A 14,874-nucleotide genomic window follows, 5' to 3' on the forward strand; every position below is an offset into this window, starting at 1 on the left:
CTTTCCTGCAATCACTTGCTGAGAATATAATAGTCTTCTACCTGGCCTCCCTGAACCTACTTTTGTCCCTTTACTAATATTCTTTCCATACCATTGATTAAATAATGTTTTAAAATGAAACTCTGTTAAAATTCTTCAATGGATAAAGTATAAAATCCTTCACCAGTGCACGCCTTTCATGATCTGATCCTCGCTTATATTCCCAGCACCATTTCACATCATTTTTCTTCTCCATCATTTCCAGGAATTCTAGCCTTCTTTCAGTTCCCTCTTGCTTCAGGATATTTGAATATGTTATTCCCTATTCTTAAAATACTTATCCTCTTACTCCTCATGTTGGTAATCTTATTTTCTTATTTGTAGTATCCCTCACAGTTGTAACTGCTAACAGACCCCTTACAGCATAAACTCTATGAGGGTAAGGCCCCATGTCTAGCTGGTTCATCTCTGTGTCCCAAGTGCCAAACAGTAACTTATCACTTATTGGGAAGGTAATTAATACCATATTTAGGTGATCATTTTCACCACTCAGACAGGGTCACACCTTCTAGCTGATTGAATCATTGCAAAGTATCTCATTTTATGAGGCATTTTCTCCAATCCTTTACATTGTACACAAAAAAATATAATTGCCCCTCAAACATCCTCATCAATTCTATTTTTACTGAGGCAATCAGTAAAAAATGTAAGGAAAATAGATTTAGTTTATATTCCAAGAGTTGAATGTTGTTACAAACAAGTCTAAAAATTTATTCATAAAATATAATAAGTCATGTTGTTAAGAATTTGAAGAAATGCAGAAAAAACAACAGTGTTAGTGTTATAAAAAGAGATACATGTGGCTCTCAACAAGTCTCAAGGGACAGCACCATATTTGAATTATAAAAGTGCTGAAATGCAAACATCTTAAATGGAAGTGACCACTATGTATCCTGGAAAGCTGTTGGATGACTCCAAAAGTGGTTCTTTGACAAAGAAACCAATGTGGAAGATAAATAGGAAGAGTTTTATTAATACTATGAGCATATATAAAAAAGTAATGTTTCTAAATCAATCTATTATTGCATATCCGATTTTTAAATATGTATGCATAATTAAATTTATACATTAGCTATTACAAATAGATATTTGACTGTTTAATCTATCCTCAAAATTTATATATTGAAGCTACCCCAAAAAACATCTTTCTGTATCTTCGCATTCTGAAACAGAAGACTAACTTATAGTCAAGATTGCCTTACAATGGGATATGTTAATACTCAAATTCCAAAATTTATACTCAAATTTGTAAGTACACAGCCTTCTCAGAAAACTACTTTAAAACGTAAAATACTCATTGAGGTGAGCCAGTTCTAATTTTTTTTTAAATCAACAACAGTATTTTACAATAATTCTTAAAAGTGAATCATAATATTATTAAATGTTTATGAATGTTTACAAATGACAGCATTTTTGGAAGAAACATGCCTTCACAGCTTTGAACTTCATTAAGAGGTTCTATTCTGGTGACATTCCAGCAGGTCTTAGTTTCTAGTCCAAATAAATTCATTATTCCCATGGATGTGCGACACCAGGAGGCTATGATTACCTTTAAAAAGATAAAAACAAAGAGATAATGGAGGAAAATATATTCTCTTCATAATAATAATCTTTCCAAAATACCATTTTGTGATGGTTGCCTTAGACATTATAAATTCTGACAAATTTATTTAGATCATTTCACTTAGGAATCAGTCACTTCAAAATTACACATTATGCCTCTATATAGAAAAATATTATATATGTGATAGCCAATTCTGTAATATAAATAATAGTAAGTCAATATAAAAGTATATAATTAAAATACGGTGATTAATAGAAAAATACAAAGATTTATAGAAACATTTCATAATTCACTTCATTTAGATCCTTGAATTTATTCCTTCATAAAATATATAAAATATATTATAAAAACTGGAACAGAATGGAATAATAGCACCTGTACCCATTACAATTTTAATCAAGCAGAAGATTTAATTGACCAATTGTTTCCAAACTGCAAGCTATTTTTAAAAGTTCAAAGACAAAGAAAAAATAACAGAAAAAAATTTCCAACAGAATGTTCATGTCTCAGAGGTTTTTTAAAAATAACACTATACATTCTGGGAAACTAATGTGAAATCACTGGGGGGAGAATGTCAAAAAATAAAGAGTTGAAAAGAGAAAGTAAGCACCTCTTAGAGCTAACCATTTTTAATATTTTGGTGATTGGTGCGGTGGCTCACGCCTGTAATCCCAGCACTTTGGGAGGCCAAGGCGGGCGGGTCATGACGTCAGGAGTTCGAGACCAGCCTGGCCAACACAGTGAAACCCCATCTCTACTAAAAATACAAAAATTAGCTGGGCGTGGTGGCAGGCGCCTGTGATGCCAGCTACTCAGAAGGTTGAGGCAGGAGAATCACCTGAAATCGGAAGGCAGAGGCTGGAAATCGGAAGGCAGAGGCTGCAGTGAGCCAAGATCACAGGACTGCACTCTGGCCTGGGCCACAAGAGCGAAACTCCAACTCAAAAAAAAAAAAAAAGTTGGTGATTATCTTTCCAGTCCTCCCCCTAGGCATTTAAAACATGAAATTAGAGTTATTCAATACTACCTAATGAGATCATATTATCAACGTTAATGTAATATACATCACTAAACATCAGAAACATCTTTCCTCGTCTCAGAAGCGTAGTTTTATTAGGCAGGTTAACATAGTAGGAAAAGCATAGCTTTGATATCAGAATTGAACTCAAATTCTGACTCTGCAAGTTATAGTTTCCATGGTCTCAAGTAATCCTTCAACGGCTGTCAATCACTTCACCTCTCAAATAAGTTTAATAATAACCATTCTACAAGAGAAGTGAGATAAGCGCTCACATATACAGTCGTATATGTCCTGTATGTCCTAAGTATAGTGCTGGCATATAGTATGCAGTGAATGCTTTTACCTTTTTAAAACATTCTGTTCTAAACTTACATTTTTATTTGTAAATGAGAAATTAATCCCCTGTGAAATTAATCTCGCAGGGGGAGCGAAGCCACGGTTGCGGGGGAGCGAAGCCACGGTTGCCGGGAAGCGCGGGCCACCCCTCCCTCCCTCTCATTCTTCGTCCTCCCCTCGCGCGCCACCCGTTTTTCCTCTTTCTCCGTTAATAACGGCTGGGTGGCTGGGGGAGGAGGGAAGGTGGCTCCGGCGGAGTCTGGGCGGGCGCCTCCCACTCAGCCGCCAGTCGCCGTGGGAGCCGGAGGATGGCGGCGGTAACAGCGGCCGCCGGAGAGGAGGCGGTGGGGAGGCCCGGGGCGCCAAGCGCGACGGCAGAAAGCGGCAGCGGCCCGTCATGGCGCACCGAAACCAGCGGCAGTCGCACGGCCACCTGAGTCGCCCCTTCCTGCTGGAGCCAGCGAGGGGTGCCTGCAGCCGGGACACCTTCCTCTCCGCGTCTCCTCGTCTCCCGCGCCCGCGTCAGGCCGCCAGCCTTGCCCACCGCCCCGAGAAGAGCGCGCCGGGCGCCGACTGCCCCTCGGGGCGCCGAGCGGCGGCCCTGGACGTGCGGGGGCCTCTCTGGGCCGGCCGCGGCGCCTCGGCCCTGCCCTCTAGCTCCCGCGTTCGCTCCTACCCTCTTGGCTCTCGGGGCACAGCGCGCGGCCCGGTCCGGAGCAGGGCGGACAGGAGCGCCAGGCAGAGCGGCCTGGCCGCCGCTAACGGCGCACGCGCGCGTACTCGGCTCGGATCTACCTTCCAGTAGCAGCGGAGTGGCCAATGGGACCGGGACCAGGGCTGGGGGCCGGGGGGCCGCCGCCGCGGGGAGGTTCCCGGCTCAGGTGCCCAGCGCTCACCAGCCCAGCGCCTCGGGCGGCGCCGCGGTGGCCCCGGCAGCCCCGCGCAGCTGTTTCCTGGGGGGCGTGGCGTCGGGGGCCCGCGCGGCGCAGTCCTCCTTCAGCATCCCGAACAGCAGCAGCGGTCCGCAGGACTCGCAGGACTCGGTGCACAGCAGCCCTGAGGATGGCGGCGGCGGCGGCCAGCACCGGCCGGTGGGCGGGAGCCCCGGCGGGCCGCGCCTGGTGATCGGCTCCTTACCAGCTCACCTCTCACCGCGCATGTTTGGAGGTACGGACCCCTCTCCACGCGCCCGCGCTCGGTTCTCCCGCGGCTGCACGTGGGCCGTGGCCGCCGGCTATTTTTACCGTTCTCCTTTTCTCCTTCCGCCGGGGCGCCGGGGGCTGCTTCCCGGCCCAGCCCGCCAGGGGCTGCTTCCCGGCCCAGCCCGCGCCGGTCTCCATCCTGGGAAGAAACCCGGCACGTAACACCTGCGGTGTCGCTGCCGCGTAGACACGTGGTTTTGTTTTTAAACATCGTGAGCACCCACACCTCAGCGGGTACTCAGTAGAGATAGTCTATTTTCCAGTGAGTTGACTGGAGCAAATGTTGTTTTACAGCAAACCCACGAAATAGCCCTTGTGGTTGTGGCTTTTAGTACCAGGAAGTCAGGAGGAGACGGTTGCTAAATGTAGTTCTATCTGGGGACTCGAGTGGGGCACAATTTTTAAAAGCCAAAAGTCAGAGGGTCTCAAATGAACTCTGAGTTACCATCTTTGGACCGACTTTTAATATAAAGCTGTAATCCTTAAATCTGTGTCAGTAGTCCCACTTACTATGTCACTTTAATTGGATGAATGCGTTAATGAAAAGTTTGTTTTCAAACCTCACTAAACTGCTACTTAAGATCACAGTTAATGTGAGTCCTGCTTAATTTGGAAAGCATTTAAAAAATGGAAAAGTTTCTTAGGGAAGTAAAAATTTTGCAACTCTGCCTACAAGGTACAGTAATTGGCTAGGTTCTTTTGAAGAGCAGTGTTGACTAGAGTTAAGGAAAAGTCAGTTGTGAAAAATGGACATTTTTAATAGCAAAATGATGTGCTTTACTGTAGAAACAGGAGGAAGGGTGCATTATCCTGGGGAAAATGAATTCTTCAGTTATGTTTTATGCTGCTCTACTTTATTGCAAAACGCTAATATTAAATGAATCAAGACCACCTCCCCTTCCCGCTTTATGAAAATAAATAGAAGTATAGAAGATAAGCATTCCCATTTCATCGCATTATGTATCTGATATTAGAAGAATTCGCAACTGAGCACAGATGAGCAACGAAAACACCATCCCCTACATTTTTGTGCCTCTTTTACTTACATATTTGTAAACGTAGGAACTGTGAGTGGAGACTTAGTAAAGTGGAATACGTAGTAATTTATCTGTTGTGATGTTCTGTGCTATCAGCACACACGCCAGCATAAATTAAAAATAGGAATGTCATGTTTAGTTTTTCCCATCTTTTTAGTAACGCTTTGTACATTCAATATGGAACGACGCTTGACTTTTAATTAGCTACCTTGTTTTAAAGTAATTTTTGCTTCTTAAAAATATTCATCCCTCTTAAAATTGGGCCATTTTTAAAAGTCATTAGCTTTTGAGTAAAAGAACTCCACTGGTGTCTTTAAAGTGATTTGATCACAACTAACACAGCAGTTGAAGTTGCTGTAGTCCGCACTGAAGAATATAAAAGGCAGTTTCTGAGAATTGGTGATTACTGCGAAAATGAAGAGCAAACTGGTTTTTAATATTTATCTTTTTAAAGTGAAAATTTGCATTTAGCAGTTATCAAAAGATGAATATTTGTTTGCTAAAGAAGGGTCAATAGGAAAAGCCTTGTCAAGTTAATATTTAATATGCTGATTTTTAAAAATTCACTTTCTAAGAGCTGATCATTCCCTTTGAGAAACATTATAGTTCTATGGGTTTATTTTGTTAAGTAAATGCATTCTATTCAGAGCAAGAGACAGTTGAGCCCCATGCTATTCCTAGTAAGTAAAAATACCTAGTTGCTTAAAGTTGGAGATAAAGCATTTATCTTTTTTCTTATCTAAGTTCTAGATTTGTGCACTCATTATAGTTCTTTTAGTGCTGTTGGGGTTGGGTGACTGGGGCCTAGTAGTACAGTGACACTTTCTGAGGAACTTATAGCAGCCTTTCTCACCCGGCTTTCTGGAGACAATTGTGCCGTAGTGTGCAATGAATTTTAACTTTCAGCACCAGTGCATTTAGGACGGTTTTAGTTATGTATCATTCTTGGAACAATTGAGAAAAGTCACTGAAATAATTTCCTATGTTTGGTGATTCAGATGAGGAACCTCAGTTGAGAATTGCTGGAAAGGGATCAGAGAAATTACCTGTTCTTATTATATGACAGGATCGGATGAAAGTGCCACATCCTGAAATCTCTGTTGAGGCAGGGAGATGGAATACACTTATGTAAAAACCCATCTTAGTGGCATTGCCTTACTGAGATTTTTACCTATATTTTAGTGGATGGGTTATTAGGAAAACAATAGAAGCATGTTTCTCATCATCTTGAGATTTAGGGAGCTAGATGAAGAATCTTATAATTAAAAAAGTTAGACTTGACTGTACTTCACATTTACTTAATTTTTTAGTATCTATTATAGCATTATTGTGTTTATTCAGTTACAAATTGTATAAATGGTTATATACAAATAACTCCATCTGAAAATTGATAAAAGGATTATTTCAGAATTAATGGAAAGTTCATATTGATTTTTGTAAAACTGTTGTTTTAATTGTTGTTTATATTATTAACGTCTCCTAATAAGAAAATGTGGTACTAATAAGATTCAAAATTATTCTCTTGTGAGGTCTCATGTAATTTATAGAAAATGAAAAACAGTCCCCCCCCCTTTTATTTTTAACACTTAAGAGTCTAGCAAGTGGAATTGTTAGTAGTTCCCTCATAATGAATTGCCACATTGAACGAGGAAGTTTTCTGTGTTGGTTTTATGTTTTGCTGTCTTTTGGACATCTATTTTCGCTATATACACTCTTATTCTCTCTAGAGAACTGGAAGAAAAATGCCTAATCCAGATATTTCAGTGTGTAGAAATTTCCTAGAATTGAGTTGCCGGACATCAGAATGTGATTATATTTAGGAGTTCTTAGGTGAAGTAAATCTTGTCCTTATTATTCTTTTCAGACTGAGGAGTGTTAAAGTGAACAGACGCTTTCTTGACTACTGCTAGTGTCGTCCATCACCTTTGTTTTAAAAAAGGTCTTAAGGGTATTTCCTAATATTTAAAAATCTTGACGGTATTTTAGGGTTTGTTTGGCTTTAATTTACGTCTACGTTTTTTTTTCCACTGTCAAGTAGCTATTGTTCATAAGAGCATAACATGAGTGGTCAAATAGCCTTTAATGATGCAGCAAGGATGGGGTAGATGAATTGGGCTATAGAAATATACCAATACATGGAGATTATTTCCAGAGACATCGTGTGGACTTCTATAATGTATCTTTGAGTCCGGAAGTGAAAATGTAAAATGACTTAATCTAAGACAACTAGTGGTGCTGGGTTGCTTTTGGCCTCCTGATTTTCTTGAGCTTTTTTGGGTGTGGCTTGCTCATGAGTATTTCAGTAGTCTGATTGTAACTCAGGTGCCTTGTTACTTGTGCAACATGTTTTCTTATATTGAAGGAGTGTGGGTTATCTCTTAAAACTGAATATGTTGAATAAGACCTGTATTTCTAGGACGATTTCTCTTAATTTTTAAGCAGATGTGAAGTTTTATGCTGTTAGGTTGTCTTCATCAATTAACCATTATGGAATTGGTCTCAGTTATCTCTTCTTACCAATATCAAGTGCCAAAATGTTTGAATTTGGGATACTCTAATTAATCTACTTCCTATTCCTGAATGTTATTTTGTGCCATTGAAGGCTTTTATGGGGAGTGGCCAAAGAGGAATGTTTGCCTCTTTCTAAGAAAAATGAGCCTTCTAACCACAACCCCTGCCACTCCTGAAGTAATAAGAATTTTGGTGGTTATTGTTTCTCACTTGTAATTTCATACCTTCGTGTTATATGTTTTGCTGTGTGTAAGTGTGGCCTGTGTCATGGACGTTTCTGCTTTGGGGATTTTTTGGAACTATTCTTGACTGCAAGGTGGGGAGGATTGGTGAGTTGCACAGGGCATCACCTGATCTGAGAGCAGCGTGACCTAAGAACCTGGTATTTTGATGCTTTGCTGGCTGGTGCAGTGCCTGAGGGAGTAAGAGCCCTGTTGTTGTCAGATAGTGTCTTACTCCCTCAGGCACATCTCCAGCGAGTCTCTTGCTCTCCTCCAATTTGATTGCTTTGCCTGGTGACCAGTAAGTAAGTTCTTTTGATTACCAAATATCATTAATTAGATATCAACTTTTAAACTATTTATTATTATTTGGGTTTGTAAGGAGAATTGCCCTAATATTAAACTTATTACATGTACTAAGTATTATGTACAATTGGGTATACTGGCAAATGTGTTAAAAGAGAGTGTAGGAACTGCTTTATGTAGCAGATTACTTCCTAAGTTTTACCTTATGTGAATATTCTTAAGAACTATTGTTTATTTGAAATGTTAGTCTGTGTTTTAATTTTGCATATACATGACATTTATTTGTTTAGAAATTGGACAAAACATAGGCCTTTTTGTGAACAAAGAGTTCAGAAATACCTTAGGTTCTGATTTTATTCATTTTCTTTTTTTTTTTATTTTATTCATGTTCTAAGCTGCTTGTTCACAAATAACTACAAATTTAGCTGTTCTAAGCAACACATTTATTACCTCGCAATTTCTATGGGTCAAGAGGCTGGGCACAACTTAGCTGTGTCCTCTGTAAGACTGCAGTCAAAGTGTTGGCCAGGGCTGGGTTGTTATGTAGAGACTCAACTGGGGAAAGGTCTGCCCCCAGACTTCCTTGGGTTATTGGCTGAATTTATTTCCTTGTGTCTGTTTGGTTCAGAGCAGCTTGCTTCTTCAAAGTCAGCAAAGGAAGAGAGTCTATCAAAGGTGAACTGGTGCTATGTTCTTACATAATCGTGTACATGTAATCACATACAACCCATTGCCTTTGCTGTATTTCATTGATTAGAAGCAAGTCATAGGTCCAGTTCACGTGCAAGGGGAGGGAATTATACAAAGGTTTAAACACCAGGAAGTGTAGGAATCAAGAATAGTCACATCAATTCTGTCTGCCACATGGATTATAGACTTAGATTGACAGCTGAACATGCAACTTTTTTTTAAAACTCAGTTTTTATTTACTTTTAAAAAGTTGTACTAATGCATATGGTAAGTATAGTATTAATAAACATGAATTGAGCCCCTTTTAGGGGCTGGGCATTGTAGATATTCAGGGTTTAAATGTGGGGCTTCTTTATGCACTGCTCAACTCTCCATTGAATTTGAGAGATGGATATGTGTGATCATTATACAGTGCAACAAATTCAGTAATAGAACTGTTAACAAAATGCTTCGTGAAGTATCTTTGTCTAGGCTAGTCAAAAAATGCTTCACAGAGGAGGGTACATTTGAACTGTAGTTTGAAGGATTTAGAAGTTTTATGGAGAGAGGGCACTGTAGACTAAAGAAAAATCCACAAAAGCTTGGGTTTTGATAGGGCATACTGAAAAGTTAAATATGTCTGGACTGTAGGGTGCATAGAGGAATGATGAGCACCTGAAGCTAGAAAAATAGAAAGTGGAGCCAGTTGAAGGATTTTATAGTGCTGTAGGTTTGTTTTATCTAATGAAGTTTGAAAGCAGGGGGAGTATCATGATTAGGCCATTGGGCACAATTAACATTCGTAGTTTACATGGATGGCAACCTTCTCTAGTGGTGCAGACTTCAGGCTGTATGCAGCAACCCTGATCAGGATTCAGTTCTTAAGGAGGAGAGTGTGATAGCAGGAGGATAAGTTAGGATTCTTTTAGAATATAACTGATAGAAGATGCCTACGTTGAAAAGATGGCATTGGTGAGGGAGAAGAAAAGTTAGATTTGATTGAGATTTCTAAGGTAGAACTGATAGAATTGAGAACCTGGGTACACAGTGATGTCTTTAACCAGTATTAAAGATGAAAATAACAAGTTTTAGGAAATGATAATGAGTTCCTTTTAGGCCTGTTAAATTTGAGTGGCTATAGGATTTCCATCTGGATAGAAGTATCCTTTAAGTGGCTGGAAACATGAGTCTCTAATTCAGGATATTACAAAAAACTGAGAAATCAAATTGCAGGATATAAATGATTCCAGAAAGTGGATAAGATTACTAAGGGATGAATATAGATTGACGAAGGACAAGGATGGAATCCAGAGGAGCAAGTATTTTAAGAGACAGGCAGAGGAAGAGGCCAGCAGTTAGAATTCAACCAGAGGGAAAGGAAGTTTTTTAAAACCTTTTTTTTTTAATTATAAAAATAATACCTGTTCACTAGAGAAAAACTGACATACAGAAAAGCAGTGGCTCACGCCTGTAATCCCAGCACTTTGGGAGGCCGAGGCGGGTGGATCATGAGGTCAGGAGATCTAGACCATCCTGGCTAACACGGTGAAACCCCATCTCTACTAAAAATACAAAAAAGTAGCCAGGCGTGGTGATGGGCGCCTGTAGTCCCAGCTACTCCGGAGGCTGAGGCAGGAGAATGGCATGAACCTGGGAGGTGGAGCTTGCAGTAAGCTGAGATCGCGCCACTGCACTCCAGCCTGACCCACAGAGTGAGACTCCGTCTCAAAAAAAAAAAAATCGCAAATTGCTTGTAATCTTACCACTAGAAATAACCAGAAAAAAGTGTTAATGTCTTTTATATATGTATTTGTTTTAGACACAAAATTTGGAACATTCATTTTTATATTGTTTTGATTTTAACCTTTCTGATGTTCTAATACGAAGTTTTAAAGCTACACATTTTCCTCCAAGAATTGCTTTACCTGAATCCCACTGATTTTGAAGAGTTCTTGTTAACATTCAGTGAAAAATGTATTTTAATTTCCCATATGATTTCTTCTTGATCCATGGGTTACATATTCTTTGATAACGTGCTCTTTCCATTTCCACCAGTTTCTAACATCACATTAAAATTTTTTATAACATAATTTTTAATTATTACCCAGTATTCCAAAAATCACTCAAATGTTTAATGAGGACCCGCTCTTCCAAACACTATTCTGGGAATACAGCAGTGAAGAAATAAGATAAAAATCCCTGCTTTTAGGGGCCTTATTATTCTATTTGGGAGAGATAGTAAACAAACAAGTAAAATACATAGTGTGTTAGGGCATTGAGTGTAATGGAAAAAAATGGAGTGCAAAGGCTGATAGAGATTATGGGGTGGAGGCCTATCTATAGTTGCTATTTTAAATCGGGTTTTAAGGATGACCTCACTGACAAGGTGACAATTCAAGCAGAAAGTGAAGGAGCAAGCCATGAGGATCTCTGGGGGAAAAACATATTCAGGCACAGGGAGCAGTAACTGTAAAAGCCCTGAGGCATGAGTGTACCTGATATGTAGGTTTACTACAGCTGGAGTGCAGAGGGGTATACAAGATGAGAGCATAGTGGGGTGGCATGAGGTTGGGACAGAATCATAAACTGCCTCATAACCACTGACCTGTGGTTTGCGGCTTTTGTTTTAAAGAGGGATGGGGAGACACTGGAGTATTTTCGTGCAGAGGATAGACATAATCTGACTTGGGTTTTAAAGGATCACTCTGGCTATTGTGTGAGGTGTCAAGAGTCAGCAAGGAGGCAAAAATCCAGATGAAAGATAACAGTGGTTTGGACTGGGTGGCAGTGCTGGAGGTGCTAAGCAGTGGCCAGATTCTGGATATCCCGTGTTTTGAAGATAGAGCCACCTGGATTAGATGTGGAGGTATGAGAGAAAATGAAGAGTCTAGGATTTACCTGGTTGTTCCTTATAGCTGAGCATTTAGTTTGTTTGGTACAGTTATAATAAAATACTGTTGCCATGAACACCTTGGTAAGCAAATTTTTACAGTTTTTTTTTTTTTTTTTTGGATGGAGTCTCGCTCTGTCGCCCAGGCTAGAGTGCAGTAGTGCGATCTTGACTCACTGAAACCTCTGCCTCCCAGGTTCAAGTGATTCTTGTGCCTCAGCCTCCCAAGTAGCTGTGATTACAGGTGTGCACCACCATGCCTGGCTAATTTTTGTATTTTTAATAGAGACTGGGTTTCGCCATGTTGGCCAGGCTACTCTCAAACTCTTGGCCTCAAGTGATTCGCCCACCTCAGCCTCCCAAAGTGCTGGGATTACAGGCCTGAGTGCCCGGCCAGTTTTTAGAAATTTATCAGCGACATGGGATTGCCAGAAACAAAGATATGCTTTTGTTCAAGGCATTTGATCTTTATTGCCAAATTGCTCATTAGAAATGGAAACAGCTTCTAGCAAGGTATACTCTTTAGGACTATGAAAAATTTTTTAACCAATAAAAGCTTGTGAGGTTTTTGATATTTATAAGTGCAGATTGGTAGATATATTTCGAGTAATATCACCTGTCAGAGTCATTATTTCATTCAGGGCTCTTTTTTTTTAGCAACGAAAAGATTTAGTGTGTCAGAAAATTATAGGTATATTCAGTCATTTGAATTTCATAAGTTCTGACCATGTGGAATATCCTAATTTTTGCTTGAATTGTGATTAGTGTGTAATAGTTCTTTAATTTACCTATTTACATATGAGCTGAGGAAAAAAAAGAACAAAGAAGCCATATATACATAATGGGTTATTTATTATGTGTAATATGTTTCAGAGAGCCAGTGCTCAGTTGAACAATAAATTTTTCTATTTTTGTTGGTTTTTAATTTTTTTCTACTGTTACCTCTGTTGTGTTCTGTCTCATTTTGTAAAGTTAATTTTGTTCTTTCTCCTAGCTTCTTAGTTCTTTTATTTTTTATTTATCATTTTTTAATGATAAAAGCGTTTAAGGCTGTTTACTTCTCGTTAACATGTAGTCACTTCCCATAGCTTTGGATACTTACCGTTTTCATTGTCATTGAGTACACATTTTTTATCTTTTAAAAGTCAGTTCTATCGAGGAATAATCATGTTAACTGCATTTTGATATTTTCTTTTACTTGAAAGTTATTTTAAAGTGTGGCTTTATTGTGGTTATCCTTACTACTACCCTATCGTTACTTCTAGTGTTAATTTAGAAATATTGCACCGTGGCTCGGCACTGTGGCTCACGCCCGTAATCCCAGCACTTTGCGAGGCCGAGGTGGGTGGATCATCTGAGGTCAGGAGTTCGAGGCCAGCCTGGCCAACATGGTGAAACCCCATCTCTACTAAAAATACAAAAATCAGCCAGGCATGGTGGCAGGTGCCTGTAATCCCAGCTTATTAGGGGGGTACTGAGACGGGAGAATTGCTTGAACCCGGGAGGCGGAGGTTGCAGTGAGCCGAGATCGCACCACTGTACTCCAGCCTGGGTGACAGAGCAAGACCCCGTCTCAAAAAATATAAAAGTATTGCACCATGGTCAGAGAATCTTAAGTCTTTCAGTTGTAAAGGATAGAAGCATAACTCAAAATAGCATTAGGTGGAAACACTATATATTGTTTCAAATTATTGAAAAGGATCCTAGGGTAACTTAGAGAATTGAAGGAACAAATGCAGGAACCAAGGCCCCTGGAGCTGAAATTTGGACAGGGAGAGAGGGAGGGAGGGAGAGAGAGCGAGAGAGAGAGAGAGAGAGAGAGTGTGTGTGTGTGTGTGTCTTTGTGTCTGTGTGTGTCTGGGATTACAGCTGTCAGCTACTGCCCCCAGGCCCCAGTATGGGCCTTCTTTAAGCTGGGGCCTTGAGACTCTCTGTACTTCCAACTACATGCAGTCTTACAGGCCTGAAAGGAGTACCTTTCTCTACCTCCAGCAGAAAGGACTCAGATTAGCTCAGTTTGAGTTCTGCGTCTGTCCATAAATTAACGAAAGCAGAAATGGGATGCACTTTATGTCCAGGCTGTATTCTGTTATTGTGGGGAAGAGTTTAAGTCTTCAAGTCATGTTTCTTGGGCTGACCTTAAGCAAGTTTCTTAGTTCCTCTGTACCCCCATTTTCTCATCTCTAGAATCAGGCCAGGTGCATTGGCTTGCACCTGTAACCCCAGCACTCTAGGAGGCCCAAGGGGGGCGATTGCTTGAGCTCAGGAATTTGAGGTCAGCCTGGGCAACATGGTGAAACCCAGGTTCTAGCAAAAATATGAAAATTAGCCAGGTGTGGTGGTGCATGCCTGTAGTCCCAGCTACTCCAGAGGCTGAAGCAGGAGGATCACTTGAACCTAGGAGGCTGAGGTTGCGGTTAGCCAGGATTGCACCACTGCACTCCAGCCTGGGCGACGGAATGAGACTCTGTCTCAAAACAAAACAAAAACCTGCTTTTGTAGTATTATGAGGGTTAAAGTAGTCCACATACTTCATACCTTTATGCTTTTAACTATTGAAGGAACCTCTTCAATGAATGAAAAAATTAAAACATCCAAGATTTATGCCGCATTTCCAGTCTCACCCTCCTCAGAATGACCATGTGCTTTACTCTGATACCGTATTCCTTTCTCTTCCCAACTGATCAGACTTTGCAAAAACAATCCAGTTTTCATTATTTTTAGAATGTATCTTTCTTATATTTACAAAATTCTCCCCTGAACATTTGAATTGAGTTTTTCAGCACATTTACTATGCCAAACACATGGTAAAAACTTTGTAAATATTGAATGTTTCCCAAAATGTATTTGATAACTACACTATTATGTTGTAAGATGATTATTATCAGAATTATTGCTGTGTTTAAATTATGTATAAAAATGTATTGCTCTAGAAGGAAGTGGTAGGCTATGTTTTTATTTGTATAATGTAAATATAGGTAAATTAATTTTTGAACCAAATAGGTATAATGTAGATTATACAAATGGAGACAGTTATAAAATTGCCTTAGAAGTAAAATTATACTGTGCTTATAGCTC

General features: G+C 40.1%; 2 non-coding genes and 1 pseudogene across 3 annotated transcripts, besides 3 other annotated features; 2 read left to right on the plus strand and 1 right to left on the minus strand.

Annotated features, from left to right (window-relative positions):
- Window positions 3,051-3,100: an enhancer, noted in NCBI's record as "active region_25830". NCBI's record gives its function as "activates an Ori minimal core promoter by ATAC-STARR-seq in GM12878 lymphoblastoid cells {active_cell/tissue: GM12878}" and the evidence as "EXISTENCE:reporter gene assay evidence [ECO:0000049][PMID:35858748]".
- Window positions 3,068-5,101, plus strand: ZNRF2P1 (zinc and ring finger 2 pseudogene 1; annotated as a pseudogene). Its single transcript, NR_003502.2, has one exon. The product of NR_003502.2 is annotated as a zinc and ring finger 2 pseudogene 1 (transcript).
- Window positions 3,421-4,060: a silencer, noted in NCBI's record as "silent region_18079". NCBI's record gives its function as "represses an Ori minimal core promoter by ATAC-STARR-seq in GM12878 lymphoblastoid cells {active_cell/tissue: GM12878}" and the evidence as "EXISTENCE:reporter gene assay evidence [ECO:0000049][PMID:35858748]".
- Window positions 4,081-4,130: a silencer, noted in NCBI's record as "silent region_18080". NCBI's record gives its function as "represses an Ori minimal core promoter by ATAC-STARR-seq in GM12878 lymphoblastoid cells {active_cell/tissue: GM12878}" and the evidence as "EXISTENCE:reporter gene assay evidence [ECO:0000049][PMID:35858748]".
- Window positions 5,102-8,098: 2,997 nt separating the features above from the next.
- On the plus strand, window positions 8,099-8,195 carry MIR550A2 (microRNA 550a-2). Its single transcript, NR_030320.1, has one exon. It is a non-coding gene; the product is annotated as a microRNA 550a-2 (primary transcript).
- Window positions 8,099-8,195, minus strand: MIR550B2 (microRNA 550b-2). Its single transcript, NR_037514.1, has one exon. It is a non-coding gene; the product is annotated as a microRNA 550b-2 (primary transcript).
- Window positions 8,196-14,874: the final 6,679 nt, after the last annotated feature.

This window comes from Homo sapiens, chromosome 7 (assembly GCF_000001405.40).
Source record: "Homo sapiens chromosome 7, GRCh38.p14 Primary Assembly".
In the NCBI taxonomy this organism is placed as follows: Eukaryota; Metazoa; Chordata; class Mammalia; order Primates; family Hominidae; genus Homo; species Homo sapiens.